Raw genomic sequence first — 27536 nt, 5'->3', positions numbered from 1 at the left:
TATAAGTAAATGCAGCTATGTCACAGATTACAATATACAAAAATTAATTGTATTTCTATGTACTAGCATCAAAAAAATGGAAAATTAAATTACCACTTTCAATAGGTTTAAAACAAATGAAATATTTAGAGATAAACTTGTCAATGTGCACAAGACTTGTACCTAGAAATCTACTAAAGATTGCTGAGAAAAACTCAGGAAAACCTGAATAATTGGTGGTGTTTGCCATATTTACAGATTGAGAAATTTAATATTATTTAGATAACTTTTTTTTTCTCTGAGTTGATCTATAGATTTAGTACAATCCCAACAAATATCCCAGCAGGAGTTTTTGTTTTGTTTTGTTTGTTTGTTTTTACAGAAATTGACAAGCTTATTCTGAAGGACTTAGAGTAACCTAAATAATTAGGAAAAGAAAAACAAAGTTAGAGGACTTACACCAAGTAATTTCAAGACTTACTATAAAGCTAAGGTAATCAAAATAATGTGGTATTGTCTCAAGGATACTTACCCAGATTGATGGAATAGAATAGATAGTCCAGAAATAGACCAATGTATGTGGTCAACTGATTTATGACAGAGGTAAAATGTTTTTTTAAACAAATGGTCCCAGGCAACTGAGTATGGAAAAAATGATTCCCTACCCTTAACTCACATCCTGTACAACAGTTAAATCAAAATAGTTTATATACAAAAAGCTTAACGTTAAAGATATCAAACTTGTAGAAGAAAAGAAGAAAAGAAGTCTACACATATTTGATGTAGGCAAAGCTTTTTCAGAAGGGACCAGAAAAGCATGAGCCCTTACAAAAAAAGATACACTGGATTTTATAAAATATCAAAATGTTTTTATTTGAAAGACAATATTAAGAAAATGAAAAGGCAAGACATAGACTTGAAAAGAAATGTAATATATGTTATATGCACACATAGTTGTTATACAACATATGTGTTATGGATACACATATAACAAAGGACTTTTATGGAGAATATAGAACACATTTTAGAACTCAGTGATACAAACACTCAGTAAGGATAAGGGCAAAAAACTTGAGCAGGCATTTCACAATATAAGATGCTTATATGGCCAATAGGCACACTAAAAGATGTTCAACAACATTAATCAGTACAAAAATGCAAATTAAATCTATCAAGGATTAATAGGTAACAACAGATCTCAACTCCCCTGAATGGAGAAACAATTAGTAACACAGATATTAGATAAAGATAAGTTACTTGAAGGATCAATCAGTGAAAAGATACTTGGGTTTATTTCCAGGTTTGTGTTCTTAAAAAGTGATGCATTCAACAGAGCATTTGAGGTAACTGCTAATTAGGGACGGTACTTCCTTCTCTTTCATGTAATGGGAGAGTGAAATCAGATTAGAACTAGTGCTTTCCTAATGAGATCTTTTCTCTCTTTCTCAGGATCAGGACTCAGATTGAAAAAGCAGAGGATGGTCACTGCCTTCCAGGTCTGAGGCTGTCTCCCAGAAGCTTCACTCCTGGCTTCGCCTTGGTAGGGAAGTTTCCGGAGGTGTTCGAAAACCTGGAAACTTAAGTGGGACATAAGACGATATTTGTGTCCCGGTTATAAAAATTGGCAGAAAAGACAAGTGTAGTGTGGGGGATTAGCTCAAGCGGTAGGGTGCCTGCTTAGCATGCAAGAGGTAGCAGGATCGACGCCTGCATTCTCCAGCTTCTTTTAATCCCTAGGCTACCAATGGTATCTGGCCTAGATGACAGTTGCACAGTACTCGTTATTGTTGTGGCAGTATCTATGAGGATTATTGGCCTCATCCACTGTGCCTGGTGCTGAAGAAGTGCTTCAGGAATGAATCCACAGATTGAGATGAAAATTCTCAAGCTTTCTCTTTCTCAACTCCTCCAAGGTTCTCCATCACTTTCTGAGTCCTACAGGAGGAAAGTGCTATTGAAGATGCGGCTATGCCGTGAAGCTCTGGGGCTGGGAGAAGCTGCCCCACCACTTCCGGGCGGCGGTGGCGGCAAGGAGCAGGTGACGATCACAACTCTAGAGCGTGCTGGAATAGCTGTGCCCCCAAGCCAGGCAGTTCCGGGTGGTGCTTCTCCATCCAGAATGTGCTCTCTGATTCCGAGAGATGAAGAAGGCGAAATTGGGAAGTGAGGAGAGAGGTCTCCCTCATGACCTTCTTTGGAAATCCCTATTCTTCGCACTGGCAGGCTCATAGAACTTTGCTGAAGGCAGTATCTGAGAAGCTCGGCCCTCAATCTGGTCCTGCCAGGGGTTTGGCGACACAAAGCACCGGCATGCTCCTAATAACCAGGAAAATGGGTGGGGTGAAAAGTTTCTCCTCTGGGGAATTAGCTCAGGCGGTGGAGCGCTCGCTTAGCTATGCGAGAGGTAGCGAGATCGACGCCCGCATTCTCCAGTTTCTTGTCTGGTTTATGTCTCTTAGTTTGTATTCCCCGTTGTTTCTCCTGTTGATGACATCGGTGCCTCTTACCTGGGAGAAGATCAGAGGAAACTGCCGCCTCCCTAGAGCCCGTGTTTTATTGATCCCCGTGTAAGAGTCTTGTTGCCCCTGCTTCCATCCTTCCTTCTTTTCCACTCCTGCCACAGGTTTGGCACTTCTAGGTACTCAGGTGTCAGTGCAAATTTCCCGTCTTTAGACAAGTACAGCTAAAAGTGATGCCCACACGATCTCTCAGTTCCTATTACATCTTCACAAATATCGTCTCCTCCGGAAAGTATGTCTTTGAATTATTGGTTTGTTTTTCTCTCCCCTAGAATGGGAGCTTCCTGAGTACCGAAACACTGTCTATGTAGACTGTGTTTAACTCACTTCATCACCATGTGTAGAGTTAAGGTTCTATAAAATACGGTTACTGCCTTGAACAGATGAGGTGAGTAGTATAAGGAAACGGAGATCAAACACAAAGCAATACTTAAAAAAATTACCTGCCACATTTCTAAAATCTTAACAATAGCATTCACTAATGTTTTTTGGTTTTCCTTTGTGCTTTCTCCATAGCCCCTTATTATTATTATTATCATTGACATTTGACTGACAATTTTCCATTTGTTTTCAAATGACCAAGCAGATTTTCCAATTTTCTAGTTAATTCCTGTGTTTCCTTCACCATTCTATTTTCTGGTTTTCTTTTGGGCTACCGTCTTCTTCTTCTTCTTCTTCTTCTTCTTCTTCTTCTTCTTCTTCTTCTTCTTCTTCTTCTTCTTCTTCTTCCTCTTCTTCTTCTTCTTCTTCTTCTTCTTCTTCTTCTTCTTCTTCCTCTTCTTCTTATCCTTTTCCTTCTTCTGCTTCTGCTTCTTCTTTTCTTCTTTTTCTTACTTCTTATATTTGATGCACTGATTTCTTCTAATGTTTTGTAACTTGGGTATTAAAAGGTGTAATTTAAAATGAGAAAGCAGTTTCTACAGAATCCTTAGAAATATGTCGTTATAAGCCCCCATTTTCATTATATTCTAAGGAGCTCAAAGATATACTTTTGATTCTTTTCTAAACTGTGCATTCGAGAGTTAATCTCTTCTTGTTTACTTTTATGTTCATTCAATGTTATTTTCTAATTTTTGTGTATCATTTTATCAACATATAAATATATATATTCACATAAGTATACGAGTTATATATACATGTATTTATGAATGGCAGCTGAAACACACATTAGTGCTAATATTGGTGACTAAAAGTTGGAGAACCAGACATTATGTACCTCATAAAGCGAAGCAATGGAAAGTGCACAAGCCCACCTATCAAATTGTCTTCTTAAAAGATTTGAAGCTGAATCTAAGTGAGCCTCTACTTGTAACTACCAGTTTACAAGAAATAGAGTAGATGAAGAAACATGTCAAGGGGCAGGAAATAGATACAATGAAATAAATACAACATAGAGGTGTTTCTAAGGATAAAAGGCCCAGTTCCTTCAACAACTAACTGGCATTAACTCTTTATGATACTATAATGGTAAATATATGTCATTATACATTTGTTTAAAAAAAAAAAACCCAGGATGTATAACACAAAGAGCAAACTGTAATGTAAACTGTGGACTTTAGTTAACAATAATGTATTGATAATTACTGGTTTACCAGTTGTAACAAATGCACCACGCTGATGCAAGATGTTAATAATAGGGAAAATTGTAAGAGAGGGAGAGTGATGGAGTTTATGGAAATTCTATCTATTCTGATCAATTTTTCTTTAAACCCAGAACTTCTCTAAAAAATAATGTCTATCAATTTTAAAAAATAATATCCATAAAAGAAAGACCAGGGACCTTTTATGGATGAAAAGAGTCTTAAAAAACATAAAAATCTGTAGATTTTACTTTATTATTTATAATCAGCCATTAAGAGAAATTTTTTTTGTATGGGTGACAATCAGAAAAAAAGTTAATATTAGATCATATTTATGATCTATTACCAATTTGTTAACAATAGGTACATACACACATGCAAACATGGCCCTAAAATTTCCTAGTTCTCTCAAGCTATTGATTTCATCATTCTCTCTGCTGCTGAGTTCAAGAAAGTGAAATGCGTAATGGGTATCTCTCCTTTCCCACCTTCCTTCCAGTTCACAACCTAGTGCTGTCCACTTGCATGGGATGTTTCTTTTCCATCACAATGCTCTGAGATAACTAAGTCAAGGGAAGTTTGCGCAGCCCTCCAGACCCTCCAGATTTCAAAGGAAAGCCCACCGCTGCTGGTCTGGGGGAGCTGATGGCCTATTCATGGATGAGATGGACTAAGGACAGTGGGAAGCACAATGGACCAACAGCATTGTTGGAGGGGACTGCGTGAGGAAGCAGGAGCCTAAACAACACTCTCCAGATACTGCGTGAACACTGTCTCCAGAGGGGTCTTGTAGCATCAAAAATTAAAGCTAAATGTTGATTTCTTTCTGGTAATTATTTTGTTCAGCAACCTGGAAAAACGAACAAAAATTATCTCATTCCCTTTCCTATTTAAAGCCTGAAATATTTAATTAAAATGATAAAACTTAAAAAAAGTGCTTATTAGGCCAGGCTCGGTGGGAGGCCGAGGCGGGGGCGGGGCGAATCACTGGAGGCCAGGAGTTTGAGACCAGCCTGGCCAACATGGCGAAACCCCGTCTCTACTAAAAATACAAAATTAGCTGGATGTGGTAGTGCACGCCTGTAATCCCAGCTACCCGGGAGGCTGAGGCAGGAGAATCGCTTGAACCTGGAAGGTGGAGGTTACAGTGAAGCAAGATCACACCACTGCAGTCTCAAAAACAAAAAGTGTTTATTGAAATTTTTAAACTTACAAGTGCTGTGACATTTAAATAAATCATTTTCTCTACATACACGGTTTTTGCACTTATACATGTCTAGACACCCTAGGAATGGTGGTGCCGTGGTGTGAACATGGAGCCTGGAATGGCCAGCCCCAAAACCTCCTCCTCATCAACTGTTGACTCATCAACAGTCAGTCAGTAATCATAACTTCCTTAAAATACAAGAGCCGCAAAACTTTCCGGGATATCTGTGCTACTTAATCTGGCAGTTCCTACTGTGTCTTGCCCCCGGTGTGACGTGCTCTCTTCCATGAAATTAATAACTGCAAACTGTAATGGGAACAAGGCAATTGTCTCCGCACTCTTACCCAAAGCGTTCTCTGAGATGTTTGGTAGTTATTTGGGTCCTTACTTGACCTTCGTGGCCTTAAAACAAAGGGAACATGGCATTTGTGAATCTGAAAGACTTGTGATAATTTTCTCATTTCCTCCAGGCTGTGTGCCTCACTCTGAGTTTGCGGAGGGATCAGCCCTTTTTCAGGGCGCCCTCATGTCCTGAGTATCATCCTCAGAATGTGAGGCTTGGGCCCAATCTGAAGAGGGTGTGAGGGAGAGCCAAAATGCAGGGATTGTCCCACAATGCAGTCCCGCTCTGTAAATCCCTTCCTCTGACTAGCTTGATTTCAGGCTCTGAGAATGGATGGGGTGGGATCGTGAAAGGGTGGCCTGTCCCTCCACACCTGTGGGCGTTTCTCGTCGGGTGGGACGAGAGACTGAGAAAAGAGACAGAGACAAAGTATAGAGAAAGAAAAGTGGGCCCAGGGGACCGGTGTTCAGCTTACGGAGGACCCGCGCAGCCCGGGTCTCTGAGTTCCCTCAGTATTTATTGATCATTATCTCTACCATCTCGGAGAGGGGGATGTGGCAGGACAACAGGGTAGTGGTGGGGAAAGGGTCAGCAGGAAAACATGTGAACAAATGTCTCTGTATCATATACAAGGTTAAGAAAAAAGTGCTGTGCTTTGATGTGCACATACATAAACATCTCAGTGCATTAAAGAGCAGTATTGCAGGCAGCATGTCTCACCTCCAGCCGTAAGGCGGTTTTCTCCTATCTCAGTAGATAGAATATACAATCGGGTTTTACACCAAGACATTCCATTGCCCAGGGAGGAGCAGGAGACAGATGCCTTCCTCTTATCTCAACTGCAAAGAGGACTTCCTCTTTTACTAATCCTCCTCAGCACAGACCCTTTACGGCTGTCCGGCTGGGGGACGGTCAGGTCTTTCCCTTCCCACCAGGCCATATTTCAGAATAGTACATGGGGAGAAATCTTGGACAATACCTGGCTTTCCTAGGCAGAGGTCCCTGCGGCCTTCCACAGTGTTTTGTGTCCCTGGGTACTTGAGATTAGGGAGTGGTGATGAGTTTTAACAAGCATGCTGCCTTCAAGCATTTGTTTAACAAACACATCCTGCATATCCCTAAATCCATTAAACCTTGAGTCGACACAGCACATGTTTCTGCGAGCACAGGGTTGGGGGTAGGGTTACAGATTAACAGCATCTCAAGGCAAAAGAATTTTTCTTAGTACAGAACAAAATGGAGTCTCTTTGTCTACTTCTTCCGACATAGACACAGTAACAGTCTGATCTCTCTTTCTTTTCCCCACAGATTGCTTTTCAGTACTTTCTGCTGAGACATTTTTGTATATTCATTTCTCTCTCAAGGAGCCTCTATAACAAAAGAGAAAAAAGTATCTCGGTTTCTGTGTGTGGCACATGAGTTTGAAGGATTTCTGAGACTGTCGTTCAGGACTGGCGTTACAGATTAAACGCCAATAAGATTCAGGACCAGGGACGATGGGATCCCTGACAGGCGGATATAACTCCTCGTTAAGGACAGACTGCCCACCACTCTCCTTCTTTCTCTGTTTCTGAATTTATTTTCTATAAATTCCGCTGGGTATCAGAACCTTCCTTCGGCTGACTGACGCTTTGCGATTTCCTCTCCAAGCCCGGATCTGTTCCCCAAAAGTCTCTCGTTCCTGCTTCTAGCTTCTCTTTTTAGCTTCTCTAGGTTCGCGTCATCGGCTTTCCTTTTTTCCGAGGTTGAATCCCCAGTTACAAGAAGCCGAGAGGTCTTCTTGTCATAAAATTAACTTCCCTCGGCTCCTGTAACAGGGAGTGGGAGCCCACCCTCCCACTCGCCGTGTAGCACTCTGCATCTCTGAGAAGAAAGTGACCACCCCAGCCCAGCACAGCACAGATTTTCTTTGAGCACCTGCTCGGAGTTCCTGTCCCTCGTCGCTCCTTGGTTTTCCCTCATCGACTACATACAGTCTGTTGGATGTCGGTCAAGGTATCGCCAGCCCCTGCCATGGGAACCATTTGGGGAAAAATAGATCCGATTTATTATACTTCAAAGATGCCCAATGATTCCCTGTCGTCTGTGTACCATAAAAATAAAAACAGATAAAAATAAGATCAATGTATTCGACATCTACACCCAGGCGTACAGCTCTGAGGTGATCAACTGGGAAGCGAAGGTAGCCCACCCAGAGGGAAGAAAGGAACAAAGCTGGAGAATGCAGACGTGGATCCTGCAGGCCGCTGCCTCCCAAGTGAGCGGGTTACAAATTCCGCTAACCCCAGCCCCCCACCACGCTATTGGCTATTTGAGGCATGTGGGGTTTTTTTCCGGACTAGAAGTCTTGTGTTCCACCTGGATTTTCGGGACCACTCAACATTCCTGAGCTCCACCCCTGCCAAGGTGGAGCCAGCACAGGACTGCAGGCGGAGTCTCCAGACTCATCCAGAAACAGCCACTGCGCGGAGCCGGGAGCGCGTGTCGAAAGCGCACCCCTAGACAGCTACTGTGGGAAAGCTCTGGGCCGGACACAATTCCACATGCTTGATATTTTAGAAAAGAAGGAATTATACCCTAGCTGTAAAGGGAGTGTGGATTACAGCTATAACAAGTACCAGGAAGGTAAGCTTTCCTTGCAAAAGCTGCCCTCTCTGAGGCTCGAACTCAGGACCTTCAGATTATGAGACTGACGCGCTGCCCGCTGCGCTAAGAGGGCGACGAAGTATAATGCCGCGCCAGCTTCCACAGGAATTTCCTAATTTCTTTCCCCAGGTGGGCTATTTTGGGACTTCAGTTTTCTTCGCCCAGGGTCGCTAGTTCTCCAAGATTATTTCCAATAGGCACGCGTAGGCTCCTTTTTAGCCCATCGGAAGAACCTCACAATCGGAAGCCATAGTGTACTGAACAATTATGCCTGACCTCATTCTCTATTGATCTGGATCTTCGTCCCCTCAGAGATATAAGGCAATAATTACTGTCCACAGTCTCCTTAGTTGGAATAGCGGGCTTTCACTAAATGCTAGTTGAATGAATGAAAAGCTCCCAAACATGCCTGCAGTTTACACTTACCTCTCTTAATTTAAATTTGCATTTCCACTTATGTCACCTGAGATAGTCCCCTCAAAATATCACCAACTGATTTTATGATGAGTCTTCATGTTTTCTTCACCTCTATGTTGCAAATACTCTATTAAATACTTTATTCCCATAATTTCATTTAGTCCTATTTATTTATTTATTTATTTATTTGCCATAAATCTATACATCATTATCCCCATCTTACTGATGAAACTGAGGCTCAGCAGAACTAAATCCACAGCTGATAAGGGGTAAAACCAGATCTTGAAAGCAGATTTTGTTTTCCAAAAAGCGTGCTGCCCTCTTTCTCCCTCTAGATCATGTAATCTCCCCTTTTCCTCTCCACACCACCACACTCATTTGTTAAGCAAATAGCTATAGAATTTTAGATTCGTTGGTCCATTCAACAAACTTTAATTCACCACTTGCCATGTACCCGACATTTATGTTCTAGATTTCCAAGGCATCCTTGGCCCTTTATCCCTCACATCCCTACAAACACCTTAAATCATTAGTTCTCGAAGTGCGGTGCCCAGACCCACCACATAATTCTCGAGGACACATTCCATTTCAGGTACTGTCCTACCCGAAGGCTTTGAGGATTCAGAAGAAATTGAGCCATCCCTGACCTCAGGAGCTGACAGGACAAACTGTCCTATCTGGTCCAGTTCCTATACTCTCAAACTTCCGGATTCTTATAAATGCATTTTCCTAAATATTTTATTTTGATACTGTAACTCTTCCGCTCTGTACTAGTTTGCTAGGGCTGCCATAATAAATATCACAGACTGAGTGGCTTAACCAACAGAAAATTTTCTCAGTTCTGGATGCTAGAAGAGTTGTTAGCTTTGGTTTCTCCTGAGGCCTCTCTCCTTGGCTCGCAGATGGTCACTTACCTTCTTGCTGTATTCTTGCATGGTCTCTCTCTCTCTACACATATTTCCATCTTTTCTTATAAGAACGCCTATTGGGATTTAGGGTTTCGACATGAATTTGGTAACGGGTGGGGCAGGACAAAATTCCACCGTAACAGGCTCAAAGTTGTTTAAATTTCCACCTTCAGATTTGCAGTAGACTTTGTTACTGGAAAGCACTACTTCCTTTTTTTTTTTTTTTAACAAGTATTTTAGAGTCCCTTAATTGAACAGACCATATACCTTTCCTTACCTAGGAATTCCCACTCCAATGCGCGGTCCACACACCCATTATTTCTCCTCATCTTCATTCTTCAAGGCCCATTCTTGATTCTTTCATTCTTATTTGAAAGAATGTAGCATGGAGGAATGTAGCATACTAGTTTTTCCCTCGGAATTGCATGACTCATTGTCAGTAACTATCTTATGGTTTTTGCTGTTATGACATTTAGTATGGATGTGTGCTATCTTTCATTAATATCCTCCATCTTGTAGTCACTGTTTCCATAAGGAAGCGCAGCCAGTGTGAACTACAGTCCAAAACCTCCCATATGCATAGACTGGTTGTGTAGTCTAAAGAAATTCCTGGCTCTGAGTCCTAATTCTGAAGGTAGTGGTAAACTTCAGTCCTTTGGTGTCTTATTCACTTAGGTTCATGCCAAGCTTACGGGGCCCAATGCAGATCCCAGGAAAAGGAGGAAGGGATGTATGCTAAACCTGTTCCTATTTCTACCCGCCAGGTTTGTTGTTGTTGTTGTTTGTTTTTCAGGTGGAAGCTCAACAGCATCCATGCTATGGGTGATTGATGCTATGTTTCTCTAATGTTAGCAGTATCTTCTTCTAATGAACTCTCTCCTTGATGATCTCTTGTCATCTGTCTTGGCCAATGTCAGTAAGGGGTCTGCATGTAAAAATGCTCATAGGTACTTGAGATGTTCATCTTTTCCTCCTTGTTTGGGTGAATTGTTTCTTTCTTAATTCATTTATGCACGTGCACATACATGTATACATAAGTGTGCACATAGGTGCGCACGCACACGTGTAGATGCCTGTGCTTATATGTGTACATACACGTATGCATACACATATGCATTCTCGTGTACATACATGCACGAATGCTCGCATGCATGTTTAGGTACGTGTATACAAACCTGATACACGAATAAATACGTGTACAAATGTGTTGATGCATGTTTACATGAGTGTACATGCATGTTAATGTACACATATGCATCTACACATATGCGTATACACACATACATGGACACATACATACTGTGTACACAATCAATGAATATGCCCAAATGCATGCAGACGCACACATGTATTTGTACACATGCATGTGTGTACATATGTGAGTGTGCACACATGTATGAGTGTATATGTGTTTGTATGTTTGTACGTATAAGTGTATGTATACATGTGCACAGACGTCTGAATGCATGTGTGGGTAGACATGTGCATTTGTATGCACAAGTACGTGCGCATGCAGATATATGTTTGAGTACATGTATGCATCGTGCTTTTGTGTGTAAACATGTATGTATATATACATGTATTATGGGTGCATCTGTGTATGCAAGTGCACGTGTGTATGCACATGCAGGTATACCCACATATCCATGTACACATATATGTCATGCATGTATGTGTGTGCATGCATGTATTTGCACACAAATTTTTGTGTGTGCACATGCATGTGTGCACACACGTGTGTGTGTAGACATGTATGTGTGGATGTGCACACGTAAATATGGACACTTGTATTCAGGCATACACATGCTTTCACGTGTGTGCACAGATGCATTTGTAGGCTGGTATACATGGTGTATACGTGTATGTATATATACATTATTCATAAAAACATATGTGCACACATGTGCACAATGCATACATGTATGCATACGTGTGTGCATGCATGAGTACACATGTGCATACACACGTAGGTGGGTAAACACACATGTACACACATGCATGCAGACATGTGAGCACATGTCTATCTGCACATATATCTACACAAATACATGCATGCATACTGTGTACACGATACATGGATACACATACATCCATGCACACACACCCACATGCATTTGCACATGCATGTGTACATATCTTTATACACTCACACATGCACGCACGTGTATATACATGTATACATACACATATGAATGTGCAGCTACGTGTGTACATGCATGTACTTGCATGTATGCATATGCATATGTGTCAGCAAATACACACATACATACACACATACATACGGTGTACATGCATGTATACATAAACATGCATGCATGTATACACATGTATGTGTAGATACCTTTGTGCATATGTGTACATGCCTGTATGCATACACACATGCATACACGTGTACACACATACATTTACACATGCATGTGGTGTACACAGACATGTATACATAAACATGTGTGCAATCACGTCTACATACACACACATGCACCTGTAGATACAAGTGTACATGTTCTGTGTGGAAGACGTGTAAGGGGAGAAGAAAAGACACACACACAATACCTTTAAGGGTAAACAACCTTTATCCCACGTAAATGGCAATGCAGATATAATAAGCAAATGATATAGTAAGCAAATTGAAATAATAAGCAGACTGATATAATAAGCAAATTGCAACGGGAAGGAAAAAGACATATATTTATATGCACTCCAGGCTGCACTCCAGGCTGCTTCTAAAGGTGTCCCATAATGAAACAATCCCCAATATAAGGCAGGTCCTCTTTTTTTCCTCTTTGAGAAGATTCCTCAAACATCTATTCTTAAATTTAAAAAACGTTATTTATTTATTTATTTATTTTTGAGACGGAGTCTTGCTCTGTTTCCCAGTCTGGAGTGCAGTGGCGTGGTCTCGGCTCACTGCAACCTCCACCTCCTGGATTCAAGCTATTCTCCTGCCTCAGCCTCCCAAGTAGCTGGGACTACAGGTGCATGCCACCATGCCTGGCTAATATTTGAATTTTTAGTGGATACTGGGTTTCGCTACGCTGTCCAGGTTGGTCTCAAACTACTGACCTCAAGTAATCTGCCCACTTCGGCCTCTCAAAGTATATACATATATATGTATATACACACTCACCAGACTATGGAGGATTCACCAACAGACCGGGAAGCAACAGCCTGGGCTCCAGAGTTGGCCAGCTGTCTGCGCACAGACGAGGAGAAGTCTCATGAAGCTTCAGCCCAGTCTGGAACCCTAGCTCTTTTTGTAACGAGTTGTTTGGCATGAGGCCCGGTCACGAGGGCCCTTCGCAACTGGGCTCAAGGATCACAAAAAGGTCAACTTGTTTTTGTGATTGTCTGTTGTTTTTCAGTAACTAATGTATAGGAATAGATTGAAATAGAGATTTCTCTGAAACAGCACTGGATGAACACCTCAATGGGTTCACAAACCTGTTCCAGACAGATTTCCCTCATGCTGTTCTCATGACAATGAGTGAGTTCTCCTGAGATCTGGTTGTTGAAAAGTGTGTAACACTTTCCCCTTTGCTCTTTCTCTCCGACTCTGCCATGGTAAGGCATGCTTGCTTCTCCTTCGCCTTCCGCCATGATTGTAAGTTTCTTGAGGCCTCCCAGCCATGCTTCCTATACAGCCTGTGGCACTGTGGGTCAATGAAACCTCTTTTCTTCATAAATTACCCAGTCTCCAGTAGTTCTTTATAGCAGTGTGACAATGGACTAATACAGGTGCCAACAAGTTCAATCACTGGCACCAAAATATGGGAGATACGGTAGTTAGATGCATGAGAAATGTAAAGGGGAGAAATGGGCAGATTGACTGCCTGAAGTTCCTTCTATATTGGGATTGGCCTGTAGTCCCAGGGCTTTTCAGGGACAACCAGATGTAGGCCTTTCCCACAAGACAGGTGTGGGAATCAGGAGAGAGGGAGCACTAGCATGAGGTCAACTTTGAGCCAGTCCCAGTGGGCTATGTGGAAGGATGAACGTAACTAAGGAAAAAGAAGCAAAAGGAAGCTTTGAGTTTTGCAGTGGCTGGAAAAGCAGTCATAAAGAAGGGGGTACAGGAGAGTACATCATCATCAAGGGAAATGCACACGAGAATCCACAATCATGGATCGTATTAAAAAAATTATTCGTATTCAAACAGCTGAATGGAAAGCATGACACTGGCTAATGACAACACCATTTAAAAGTAAGAACTTTATTATTCTCCCCACCACCCCTCCCTGGCTTTAACTCATCTTCCACCACGATTGAAACACGGAAGTCTCAGAACAGTGGTTAACAAATGGTAGAATGTTAGGGTAAGAAAAGAGAGATGAAACATTTTCCTTAGAAAACTATCCAAATAGTTTTAGCTGACTCAACAGGCCCAGTAGGTAAAGGAAGAGATCTGATCTTTATGTCAAGTTTAAATTTTAGAGTGTTACATGGAGCTCAGCATCTTAACTTTGAGACTGAGACTGTATTGCCTGGGATGAGGCATAAAACTGTGTATGTCTTCATATGGAGATAGGGAAAGAATATATCCTACTGAATAAGATTAAAATGACACTGGGAGACCAAAACATGTTTTTTGTATTATTAAATCCCAGAGATTGGCCACATTCATATTACAGAGTTTAGAGAGAACTAACTGATAAACTTACGTGGCTATCCCTTAATGAGTTTTGTTATTATTATGGTTTTTTCCTGTCTGCTTATGCATTATTATGATATCTATATTATGATTTTGTTATGCCAAGTAATGACATCTCAGGGATCTGTGAGGCAGTACCTCATTTGGTATTCTAACCACATTTGACAAGTACAAAAATGTACACACCTTAGTCTACTTTGTGTTGCTAAAAGGAACACCTGAGACTGCGTAATTTGCATGACAATGAGTCATGCAATTCCGAGGGAAAAACTAGTATGCTACATTCCTCCATGCTACATTCTTTCAAATAAGAATGAAAGAATCAAGAATGGGCCTTGAGGAATGGAGATGAGGAGAAATAATGGATGTGTGGACCAGGCACTGGAATGGGAATTCCTAGATAAGGAAAGGTATATGGTCTGTTTAATTAAGGGGCTTTAAAATACGTGTTAAAAAAAAAAAAAAGCAAGTAGTGTTTTCCAGTAACAAAGTCTACTGCAAATATGAGGGTGAAAATGTAAACAACTTTGAGCCTGTCATGGTGGAATTTTGTCCCGCCCCACCTGTCATCAAATTCATGTCGAAACCCTAACTCCCAATAGGAGTTCTTATAAGAAAAGATGGAAACATGTGTAGAGAGAGAGACCGTGGGAGAATATAGCAAGAAGGTAAGTGACCATCTGCGAGCCAAGGAGAGAGGCCTCAGGAGAAACCAAAGCTAACAACCCTTCTAGCCTCCAGAACTGAGAAAATTTTCTGTTGGTTAAGGCACTCAGTCTATGATATTTATTATGGCAGCCCTAGCAAACTAGTGCAGAATGGGAGTTACAGTATCAAAATAAAATATTTAGGAAGATGCATTTATAAGAATCCGGAAGTTTGAGAGTATAGGAACCGGACCAGATAGGACAGTTTGTCCTGTCAGCTCCTGAGGTCAGGGATGGCTCAATTTCCTCTGAATCCTCAAAGCCTTCGGGTAGCACAGTACCTGAAATGGAATGTGTCCTCGAGAATTATGTGGTGGGTCTGGGCACCGCACTTCGAGAACTAATGATTTAAGGTGTTTGTAGGGATGTGAGGGATAAAGGGCCAAGGATGCCTTGGAAATCTAGAGCATAAATGCCGGGTACATGGCAGGTGGTGAATTAAAGTTTGTTGAATGGACCAACGAATCTAAAATTCTATAGCTATTTGCTTAACAAATGAGTGTGGTGGTGTGGAGAGGAAAAGGGGAGATTACATGATCTAGAGGGAGAAAGAGGGCAGCACGCTTTTTGGAAAACAAAATCTGCTTTCAAGATCTGGTTTTGCCCCTTATCAGCTGTGGATTTAGTTCTGCTGAGCCTCAGTTTCATCAGTAAGATGGGGATAATGATGTATAGATTTATGGCAAATAAATAAATAAATAAATTGGACTAAATGAAATTACGGGAATAAAATCTTTAATAGGGTATTTGCAACATAGAGGTGAAGAAAACATGAAGACTCATCATAAAATCAGTTGGTGATATTTTGAGGGGACTATCTCAGGTGACATAAGTGGAAATGCAAATTTAAATTAAGAGAGGTAAGTGTAAACTGCAGGCATGTTTGGGAGCTTTTCATTCATTCAACTAGCATTTAGTGAGAGCCCGCTATTCCAACTAAGGAGACTGTGGACAGTAATTATTGCCTTATATCTCTGAGGGGACGAAGATCCAGATCAATAGAGAATGAGGTCAGGCATAATTGTTCAGTACACTATGGCTTCCGATTGTGAGGTTCTTCCGATGGGCTAAAAAGGAGCCTACGCGTGCCTATTGGAAATAATCTTGGAAAACTAGCGACCTTGGGCGAAGAAAACTGAAGTCCCAAAATAACCCGCCTGGGGAAAGAAATTAGGAAATTCCTGTGGAAGCTGGCGCGTTGATGCACTTCGTCGCCCTCTTAGCGCAGCGGGCAGCGCGTCAGTCTCATAATCTGAAGGTCCTGAGTTCGAGCCTCAGAGAGGGCAGCTTTTGCAAGTGAACGCTTACCTTCCCGGCACTTGTGATAGCTGTAACCCGTATTCCCTTTACAGCTGAGGTATAATTCCTTCTTTTCTGAAATATCAAGCAAGTGGAACCGTGTCGGGCCCAGAGCTTCTGTGGGTGCTCGTTTGACACGCGCTCCCGGCTCCGCGCAGTGGCTGTTTCCGGATGAGTCTGGAGACTCCGCCTGCAGTCCTGTGCTGGCTCCACCTTGGCAGGGATGGAGCTCAGGAATGTTGAGTGGTCCCGAAAAACCAGGTGGAACACAAGACTTCTAGTCCGGAAAAATCCCCCACATGCCTCAAATAGCCAATAGCGGGGTGGCGGGCTGGGGTTAGCGGAATTTGTAACCCGCTCACTTGGGAGGCAGCGGCCTGCAGGGTCCGCGTCCTCATCCTCCGGCTTTGCCCCTTTCTTCCCTCTGGGTGGGCAACAGTCGCTTCCCAGTTGATCATCTGAGAGCTGTACGCCTGGGTGTAGATGTCGAATACATTGATCTTCTTATTTTTATCTGTTTTTATTTTTATGGTACACAGACGACAGGGAATCATTGGGCATCTTTGAAGTATAAATAAATCAGGTCTGTTTTTCCCCAAACGGTTCCCACGGCAGGGGCTGGGGATACCTTGACCGACATCCAACAGACTCTATGTAGGCAATGAGGGAAAACCAAGGAGCGACGAGGGGCGGGAACTCCGAGCAGGTGCTCAAAGACGAAGAAAATCTGTGCTGGGCTGGGGTGGTCACTTTCTTCTCAGAGATGCAGAGTGCTACACGGCGAGTGGGAGGGTGGGCTCCCACTCCCTGTTACAGGAGCCGCTTGGAACTGGGGATTCAACCTGGGAAACAAGGAAAGCCGATGACGCGAACCTAGAGAAGCTAAGAAGAGAAGCTAGAAGCATGAACGAGAGAATTTTGGGGAATAGATCCGGGCTTGGAGAGGAGACTGCGAAGCGCCAGTCAGCCTAAGGAAGGTTCTGATACCCAGTGGAATTTATAGAAAATGATTTCGGAAAGAGAGAAAGAAAGAAAGAGAGTGGTGGGCAGTCTGTCCTTAACGAGGCGTTATGTCCGCCTGCCAAGGATCCCACCGTCACTGGTCCTGAATCTATATTTCATCTGTAACGCCAGTCCTGAACAATAGTCTCAGAAATCCTTCAAACTCATGTGCCACACACAGAACCCGAGACAGTTTTTTCTCTTTTGTTACAGAGGCTCCTTGAGAGAGAAATGAATATACAAAAATGTCTCAGCAGAAAGTACTGAAAAGCCATCCCACCCCATCCATTCTCAGAGACTAAAATCAAGCTAGTCAGAGGAAGGGGTTTACAAAGCAGGACTGCACTGTGGGACAATCCCTGCATTTTGGCTCTCCCTCACACCCTCTTCAAATTGAGCCCAAGCCCCACATTCTGAGGATGATACTCAGGACGTGAGGGGGCTCTGAAAAAGGGCTGATCCCTCCGCAAACTCAGGGTGATGCACACAGCCAGGAGGAAATGAGAAAATTATCACAATTCTTTCAGATTCACAAATGCCATGTTCCCTTTGTTTTAAGGCCACGAAGGTCAAGTAAGGACCCAAATAACTACCAAACATCTCAGAGAACGCTTTGGGCAAGAGTGCGGAGACAATCAATTGCATTGTTCCCATTACAGTTTGCAGTTATTAATTTCATGGAAGAGAGCACGTCACACCGGGGGCAAGACACAGTAGGAACTGCCAGATTAAGTAGCACAGATATCCCGGAATGTTCTGCGGCTCTTTGTATTTTAAGGAAGTTTTGATTACTGACTGACTGTTGACGAGTCAACAGTTGATGAGGAGGAGGTTTTGGGGCTGGCCATTCCAGGCTCCACGTTCACACCACGGCACCACCATTCCTAGGGTGTCTAGACATGTACACTTGCAAAAACCATGTATATAGAGAAAATGATTTTATTTATATGTGAGAGCACTTTTAAGTTTGAAACTTTCAATAAAGACTTTTTTTTTTTTTTTTTTTTTTTTTGAGAGTGCAGTGGTGCGATGTCGATCCACTGTAACCTCCACCTTCCAGGTTCAAGCGATTCTCCTGCCTCAGCCTCCCGAGTAGCTGGGATTACAGGCGTGCGCTACCACGTCCAGCTAATTTTGTATTTTTAGTAGAGACGGGGTTTCGCCATGTTGGCCAGGCTGGTCTCAAACTCCTGGCCTCCAGTGATTCGCCCCGCCCCCGCCTCGGCCTCCCACCGAGCCTGGCCTAATAAGCACTTTTTTTAAGTTTTATCATTTTAATTAAATATTTCAGGCTTTAAATAGGAAAGGGAATGAGATAATTTTTGTTCGTTTTTCCAGGTTGCTGAACAAAATAATTACCAGAAAGAAATCAACATTTAGCTTTAATTTTTGATGCTACAAGACCCCTCTGGAGACAGTGTTCACGCAGTATCTGGAGAGTGTTGTTTAGGCTCCTGCTTCCTCACGCAGTCCCCTCCAACAATGCTGTTGGTCCATTGTGCTTCCCACTGTCCTTAGTCCATCTCATCCATGAATAGGCCATCAGCTCCCCCAGACCAGCAGCGGTGGGCTTTCCTTTGAAATCTGGAGGGTCTGGAGGGCTGCGCAAACTTCCCTTGACTTAGTTATCTCAGAGCATTGTGATGGAAAAGAAACATCCCATGCAAGTGGACAGCACTAGGTTGTGAACTGGAAGGAAGGTGGGAAAGGAGAGATACCCATTACGCATTTCACTTTCTTGAACTCAGCAGCAGAGAGAATGATGAAATCAATAGCTTGAGAGAACTAGGAAATTTTAGGGCCATGTTTGCATGTGTGTATGTACTTGTTGTTAACAAATTGGTAATAGATCATAAATATGATCTAATATTAACTTTTTTTTCTGATTGTCACCCATACAAAAAAAATTTCTCTTAATGGCTGATTATAAATAATAAAGTAAAATCTACAGATTTTTATGTTTTTTAAGACTCTTTTCATCCATAAAAGGTCCCTGGTCTTTCTTTTATGGATATTATTTTTTAAAATTGATAGACATTATTTTTTAGAGAAGTTCTGGGTTTAAAGAAAAATTGACCAGAATAGATAGAATTTCCATAAACTCCATCACTCTCCCTCTCTTACAATTTTCCCTATTATTAACATCTTGCATCAGTATGGTACACTTGTTACAACTGGTAAACCAGTAATTACTAATACATTATTGTTAACTGAAGTCCACAGTTTACATTACAGTTTGCTCTTTGTGTTATACATCCTGGGTTTTTTTTTTTTTTTAACAAATGTATAATGACATATATTTACCATTATAGTATCATAAAGAGTTAATGCCAGTTAGTTGTTGAAGGAACTGGGCCTTTTATCCTTAGAAACACCTCTATGTTGTATTTATTTCATTGTATCTATTTCCTGCCCCTTGACATGTTTCTTCACCTACTCTATTTCTTGTAAACTGGTAGTTACAAGTAGAGGCTCACTTAGATTCAGCTTCAAATCTTTTAACAAGACAATTTGATAGGTGGGCTTGTGCACTTTCCATTGCTTCGCTTTATGAGGTACATAATGTCTGGTTCTCCAACTTTTAGTCACCAATATTAGCACTAATGTGTGGTTCAGCTGCCATTCATAAATACATGTATATATAACTCGTATACTTATGTGAATGTACATATTTATGTGTTGATAAACAAAATGATACACAAAAATTAGAAAATAACATTGAAAGAATGAACGTAAAAGTAAACAAGAAGAGATTAACTCTCGAATGCACAGTTTAGAAAAGAATCAAAAGTATATCTTCGAGCTCCTTAGAATATAATGAAAATGGGGACTTAAAATGACATATTTCTAAGGACTCTGTAGAAACTGCTTTCTCATTTTAAATTACACCTTTTAATACCCAAGTTACAAAACATTAGAAGAAATCAGTGCATTAAATATAAGAAGGAAGAAGAAGAAGAAGAAGAAGAAGAAGAAGAAGAAGAAGAAGAAGAAGAAGAAGAAGCCCGAAAAAAAAAAAGAAAAAGAAAAAAAAAAAGAAAATAGAATGGTGAAGGAAACACAGGAATTAACTAGAAAATTGCAAAATCTGATTGGTCATTTGAAAAAGAAGTGTAAAATGGTCAGCCAAATGTAAAATAATAATAATAATAAGGGGATATGGAGAAAGCACAAAGAAAAACCAAAAACATTAGTGAATGCTATTATTAAGATTTGAGAAATGTGGCAGGATAATGTTTTTAAGTATTGCTCTGTCTTTGATCTCCCTGTTTCCTTATCTGTTCAAGGCAGTAACCGTATTTTACAGAACCTTAACTCTACGCATGGGGATGAAGCGAGTTGAACACAGTGTACATAGACAGCGTTTCGGTACTCAGGAAGCTCCCACTCTAGGGGAGAGAAAAACAAACCAGTAACTTAAAGACATACTTTCTGGAGGAGACGATATTTGTGAAGATGTAGTAGGAATTGAGAGATCGTGTGGGCATCACTTTTAGCTGTACTTGTCTAAAGACGGGAAATTTGCATTGAGACCTGAGTAGCTAGAAGTGCCAAACCTGTGGCAGGAGTGGAAAACATGGGAGGATGGAAGCAGGGGCAACAAGACTCTTACATGGGGAGCAGTAAAACACGAGATCGGGGGAGGGGGCAGGTTCCTCTGATCTTCTCCCAGGTAAGAAGCACCGCCGTTGTCAACAGGAGAAAGAAGCGGGTATACAAACCAAGAGACATAAACCGGACAAGGAACTGGAGAATGCGGGCGTCGATCCCGCTACCTCTCGCATGCTAAGCGAGCGCTCTACCGCCTGAGCTAATTCCCCACTGAGGATACACCACCCCCCACCCATTTTCCTGGTTATCAGGAGCCTGCCGGTACTTTGGGCCGCCAAATCCCTGGCAGGACAAGATTGAGGGCGGAGCTTCTCAGATACTGCCTTGGGCAAAGTTCTACGAGCCTGAGAGTGTGAAGAATACGGATTTCCAAAATAGGTCATGAGGGAGACCTCTCTCCTCACTTCTCAATTTCGCCTTCTTCATCTCTCGGAAGTAGAGAGCACGTTCCAGTTGGAGAAGCACCACCCGGAACTGCCTGGCTTGCGGGCACAGCTATTGCAGCCCGCTCTAGAGCTGTGATCCTCACCTGCTCCCTGCAGGCAAGGCCGCCCGGAAGTAGTGGGGCAGCTTCTCCCAGCCCCAGAACTTCACGCCATACGCGCCGCATCTTCAATAGCACTTTCCTCCTGTAGGACTCAGAAAGTGATGGAGAACCTTGGAGGAGTTGAGAAAGAGAAAGCTTGAGAATTTTCATCTCAATCTGTGGATTCATTCCTGAAGCACTTCTTCAGCACCAGGCACAGTGGATGAGGCCAGTGATCCACATAGAAAGTGCCACAACAATAGCAAGTAATAGTACTGTGCAATTGCCGTCTAGACCCTATTTTAGATGCTGTACACATATTAATAGTAATGCAGGTAAAATGCCTAGAAATAGTTTATAATCTTCATTTTTTATATGAAAAATTATGGAAAATTGTCACCACAGAGCTCAGGGATCTCTCAGCCAAAAGGAAAAACAGATGCAGGCTATACCGTGTCTGCTGTGTAGGTGCTTCTCCTGCCATTTCCCTTCCCTGTCACCTTCCTCCCCCCTTCTCTTGCTCCATTGGGCACCACACTTGTCCTTCTTATGCCTGTCTAGTTCTTCAATTCCCGGGCCCACAGAAGAAGGCTTCCCCTGTAGCCCAGGGGAGGCTACATTAGCTCCACTGCCTTGGAGTTGTAGTGGATTCCAAATCTGCTTTCCACCTGTGAAGAATTCTCATTTAAGACAGGAACATAGTTATTTTACTCTGAGTATAACTAGCGTCAAGTAGGATTTTTGCCTGATGAAAATTTGCTGAATGGAGAAAGGCTATACAGATAATTTAGAAGCCTCAAAGGAGAGAGTGGCTTCAGATCAGTAAAGACTGAAGAAAGGATTAGAAGCTAGGGTCTAACAAACCCATAGAAATGTTTTTGCCTGAAAAGGAAATGTGGTTGGGGAAGAGTGGAGGGGCACTACTTTCAGAGTGATTAGTGGGTGGAGGCATGGCCTTCATGGAACTGCAGGTGGTTTGGGGCAGCTTCAGGTCCCTCCTTCACGGTCCCAGTTTATTAGGAGTGCACATCCTGAGAAGGAAAGAGGCTGCTCCTATGGGACAAAAATTCAACAACATGTTTATTATTTATGACATTCATTTTTGAGATCATTTATGAATAAGAAGATAAAATAGAAAAACATGTAATCAATAACATTGTCTTTCTATTACGATTAACAAAGGGCAATGCTGAGAAGTCAAATGGTGTCAGAGAGAGATTTGAGTGATGGGAAAGAAAGAAGGATGGAAAGAGGGGCACGTCCCAGGGACCTACAAGAGCTTCCTGGAGTCATCTATCCAAAGACCACTCTCTCCAGCATTCTGAGCTCTGCTTGGGCCAGTTGAGCTAGTCAACATATGTGTTGTTAATACAGCGCCTCATGTAGTTTCTTTAAATAGGGGATAGTGTTGCAATTTCAAAAATACATTTTTTTACGTTTTGGTTCATCTTGGAAATTAGAGGAAGACCTAGGTCCCCATTTATTTTGAGCACATTTTTGTCAGAACGAGCTTTCAGAGAGATGAATAGAAGGAATAAATGTCACTTTTCTTAGTGAGAGTGTATCCGACCACTAGAGTTAATATGCTAGCTCCCACCTTCACTTATACTCCTTCCTTACCTCTCTCCTTACCTCTCTTACCTACACAGGAGAGAGGTAAGGAAGGAGTATAAGTGAAGGTGGGAGCCTGGCCAACTCTCAGATAATCTGGTAGAAGACACGTTTTCATCCTCTACCTGACCATGTGTTGTCAATGTGAATAAAAGCAAAAGGTTGGCACATTCAAGTCTCCTGCTTTTGCCTCCTGACACTATTTCCAGGCTGTTCCTCATATTTTGTACCCAAAAGGCTAAAGTTTGATTTCCCCACAAAAATACATTGTATTAACTTCGAGCTGAAGCCCCAAAACCTGTATTGGCAAAACTCACTTGTGACTAATCGCTTCCTTTTTTGCTTTTGCATGGAATGCTATGTATAATTTCCTTAAAAAAAAAATGTACATAACAAGATGAAACTGAGTCAAATAAAGAGCGGTAAATCCGCTGAAAGTATTTACCAGATACCATTGGTAGCCTAGGGATTAAAAGAAGCTGGAGAGTGCAGGCGTCGATCCTGCTACCTCTTGCATGCTAAGCAAGCGCTCTACCGCTTGAGCCAATTCCCCCACACCGCATTTGTCTTTTCTGCCTGTTTTGATAACCGGGACACAAATATCGTTCCATGTCCCACTTAAGTTTCCAGCTTTTCAAACACCTCCGGGAACTTCCCTACCAAGGCGAAGCGAGGAATGAAGTTTCTGGGAGACAGCCTCAGACCTGGAAGGCAGTGACCATCCTCTGCTTTTTCAATCTGAGTCGGGATCCTGAGAAAGAGAGAAAAGATCTCATTAGGAAAGCACTAGTTCTAATCTGATTTCACTCTCCCATTAGATGAAAGAGAAGGAAGTACCGTCCCTAATTAGCAGTTACCTCAAATGCTCTGTTGAATGCATCACTTTTTAAGAACACAAACCTGGAAATAAGCCCAAGTATCTTTTTATCGATTGATCCTTCAAGTAACTTATCTAGTATCTGTGTTACTAATTGTTTCTCCATTCAGGGGAGTTGAGATCTGTTGTTACCTATTAATCCTTGATAGATTTAATTTGCATTTTTGTACTGATTAATGTTGTTGAACATCTTTTAGTGTGCCTTATTGGCCATATAAGCATCTTATTTTGTGAAATGCCTGCTCAAGTTTTTTGCCCTTATCCTTACTGAGTGTTTGTATCACTGAGTTCTAAAATGTGTTCTATATTCTCCATAAAAGTCCTTTGTTATATGTGTATCCATAACACATATGTTGTATAACAACTATGTGTGCATATAACATATATTACATTTCTTTTCAAGTCTATGTCTTGCCTTTTCATTTTCTTAATATTGTCTTTCAAAGAAAAAGCATTTTAATATTTTATGAAATCCAGTGTATCTTTTTTTGTAAGGGCTCATGCTTTTCTGGTTCCTTCTGAAAAAGCTTTGCCTACATCAGATATGTGCAGACTTCTTTTCTTCTACAAGTTTGATAACTTTAACGTGAAGCTTTACGTATATAAACCATTTTGATTTAATTGTTGTATAGGATGTGAGTTAAGGGTAGGGAATCATTTTTTCCATACTCAGTTGCCTGGGACCATTTGTTTAAAAAACTCATTAAATAACATTTTACCTCTGTCATAAATCAGTTGACCACATACGTTGGTCTGTTTCTGGACTATCTGTTCTATTCCGTCAATCTGGGTAAGTATCCTTGAGACAATACCACATTATTTTGATTACCTTAGCTTTATAATAAGTCTTGACATCACCTGGTGTAAGTCCTCTAACTTTGTTTTTCTTTTCCTAATTATTTAGGTTACTCTAGGTCCTACAGAATAAGCTTGTCAATTTCTGTAAAAACAAACAAACAAAAAGAAAAGAAAACAAAACAAACAAAACAAAAATCTCCTGCTGGGATATTTGTTGGGATTGTAGTAAATCTATAGATCAACTCAGAGGGAAAAAAATGATATCTTAATAATATTACCTTTTTCAATCTGTAAATATGTCAAACAACACCAATTAGTCAAGCTTTCCTGAGTTTTTCTCAGCCATCTTTTGTAGATTCCTAGGTACAAGTCCTGTGCACACTGACAAGTTTATCTCTAAATATTTCATTTGTTTTAAACCTATTGAAAGTGGTAATTTAATTTTCCATTTTTTTGATGCTAGTACATAGAAATACAATTAATTTTTGTATACTGTAATCTGTGACATAGCTGCATTTACTTATAATGCTTATTTTTGTGGATACACTAGGATTTTTTGTGTATCTGATCATGTTGCTTGCAAACGAATATATTTTTCTTATTCTAAAGTGAGTATGCCATTTATTCTTCATTCATGCGTTCCTTACTTTCTGACACTAGCTAGGACTTTCAGTAAAATGTAGAAGTAGTAAGGACAGATATTTTGCACTTTTCTCCAATATTAAAGGGTACATATTTATTCTTCCACTATTAACTCTATTGCTAGTTGTAGGACTTTCTTAAACGCCCATTATTCATCTGAGGAATTTTCCTTCTATTCTTAGCTTACTGGGATATTTTTTAAACACCACGAATGAATGGCAAATTTGGTCCAATATTTCTTCTGCATCTAGTGAGATGATTACATGTATTTTTTGTTTTGTTAATGTGGTATATTACATTTAATTGACTTTTCAATGCCTAACTAATTTTTTATTCCCGAGGCAATCTCCCCTAACTCATGGTGCATTATGCTTTACAGATAATGCTGGATTCAATTTGTTAATATTTTAATTCAGTATCTGTTGGTAAATGTGTCAGAGAAGGGTCTCCAAGTGTGGAACGCGCCGCTTTCACAGCTCAGAGAAACATGGTGAGCACAGTGCTCCCTTCTAAGTGACGGGAGCTTCGAGATACAACAATGAGACTTTACTTTGGAGGAAATGTCTCAGAATTTCACAGATCCTAAAAACTTTCATTCACGAACCAGGTCGATGAATGGTTTCTGTGTTTCTCTCCCACCCTCTGGAGCATGCAGGGCTTAACAAAATCTGCAACTTACTTGACACTTCTTGCTCATCGAAGATTTAAATGATACTATCAATACAGTGTACCAATGTTTTGCTGTTGGTGCAGACAGTTCAATTCTCTTTGGACTAGATTAGGAAAAATTGGGGGACTTGATATACCTCTGGAGTAAGAACATAAATGCATACTTTTGTCTAGTCCATGTGAATATGAACTGTTTCTGTTCTTTCTTCCTGATAACAATAGAAAAAATGCATTCCCCAAATCAAAGACTGCATGCCAAAGACCTTGCAATTTTTGCTTTTATGTTCATATTGTTTATAACATGATTAATTTATTAACTTTACATTCCAATTCTATTTTCTTATGTATTCAAGTGAAAAGTGTTAATTATGAGAAATTCTGCACTATGGCACTGCTAATATTGCAATCTATATCCCAGACTTCGTTTTACCGACAGAAGAAAGCATACCCTCATCAATTTGTCATGTCTTCGGAAGAAGGGACATGGGTTTGTAGTGGAATTCATGACTTTTTCTGCCTGAACATTAATTAGCAGAAGCATGCTCCATTTCTTTATATAGACCCACTCTTAGAACCAAGGTGAACTGAGTGAAAAAGATACTTGCCTTTATATTTCTCTTATCAAACTAACCATTCTTGAATCTACCTTTATCACTTTTCTCCCAGGACCTCCTAGTGGAAGAAACTGTGAAAATGGCTGGTGTCACTTCAGACGCAAAAGGAAAAGTGGCACATCATGTTCAGAATCCGATTAAATAGTGTCAGCAATTATTACCTCTGCTTAAAGGATTCAGAGCTGAGTTTGTTCAGCTACCCTGCCCTGACTAATGGCATCATGCAGGTGTACTTAGAAGTAAATTTAAAACTCCCCCTTACTTTAGGATCACACATCTCCTAGGGTAATTGCAGGAGTGATTGGGAAAGAGCAGTCTACTCTGAGGAGGTCAGATGGAGACCAAGTGAATCCTGTAAAATACAAGTAGTGTCATATGACAAAAATGCAAATCCAACACTACTAAGTCTTGGATTTCTTCTTTGTTTCCTTGATTAATTTTCTTGCTTCGCTCCAAAAATCATAGCATAAAGCAAATTATTGTTCTACCTATTGCTTTCCACTTTACTCATCTTTCATCTGGTGTCTGTGTGATTATGTCTCCATTAGAGACTGAGACCTGTTATTACCTATTAAATCCCTTCATTCCAGGATGTGGAACTAATTAGATAAGTTTCAGATTGTTGAATTTAGTGGTTATTTTAGAGGTAATTAGATCGTTAAATTTAACACTTGTAGCTCCACATGATGATGGAGTGCAAATATCTATTTATTCATAAATATCCATAGGCAGGGATCAGAACCAACATTGAGAAGACCCACTCCCTCCAAACAAGACGACCAAGAAAACAAATTGATTCTACTACCTTGGATTTATTAAACTTGCTGAGCAAAGAGCCGTACCTCTATGGAGTCCCAGTACTGCCTAAAACAAGGGTGAGTCAGAGACCAGAATTTAAAGGGTCTGGGGACTGGAGCTATTCATAGGACACT

General features: G+C 41.0%; 3 non-coding genes and 1 pseudogene across 3 annotated transcripts; 2 read left to right on the top strand and 2 right to left on the bottom strand.

Moving 5' to 3' along the window:
- Nucleotides 2338–2411, top strand: TRUND-NNN1-1 (tRNA-undetermined (NNN) 1-1; annotated as a pseudogene).
- On the bottom strand, nt 8275–8347 carry TRM-CAT4-2 (tRNA-Met (anticodon CAT) 4-2). The gene has a single exon. It is a non-coding gene; the product is annotated as a tRNA-Met (tRNA).
- Nucleotides 8348–16167: 7820 nt separating this feature from the next.
- Nucleotides 16168–16240, top strand: TRM-CAT4-1 (tRNA-Met (anticodon CAT) 4-1). Its single transcript has one exon. It is a non-coding gene; the product is annotated as a tRNA-Met (tRNA).
- Nucleotides 16241–21003: 4763 nt separating this feature from the next.
- TRA-AGC9-1 (tRNA-Ala (anticodon AGC) 9-1) lies at nt 21004–21076 on the bottom strand. Its single transcript has one exon. It is a non-coding gene; the product is annotated as a tRNA-Ala (tRNA).
- Nucleotides 21077–27536: the final 6460 nt, after the last annotated feature.

This window comes from Homo sapiens, chromosome 6, assembly GCF_000001405.40.
Source record: "Homo sapiens chromosome 6, GRCh38.p14 Primary Assembly".
In the NCBI taxonomy this organism is placed as follows: domain Eukaryota; kingdom Metazoa; phylum Chordata; class Mammalia; order Primates; family Hominidae; genus Homo; species Homo sapiens.
The sequence above is the reverse complement of the archived record's forward strand: the minus strand, read 5'-3'. Positions and strand labels throughout refer to the sequence as shown.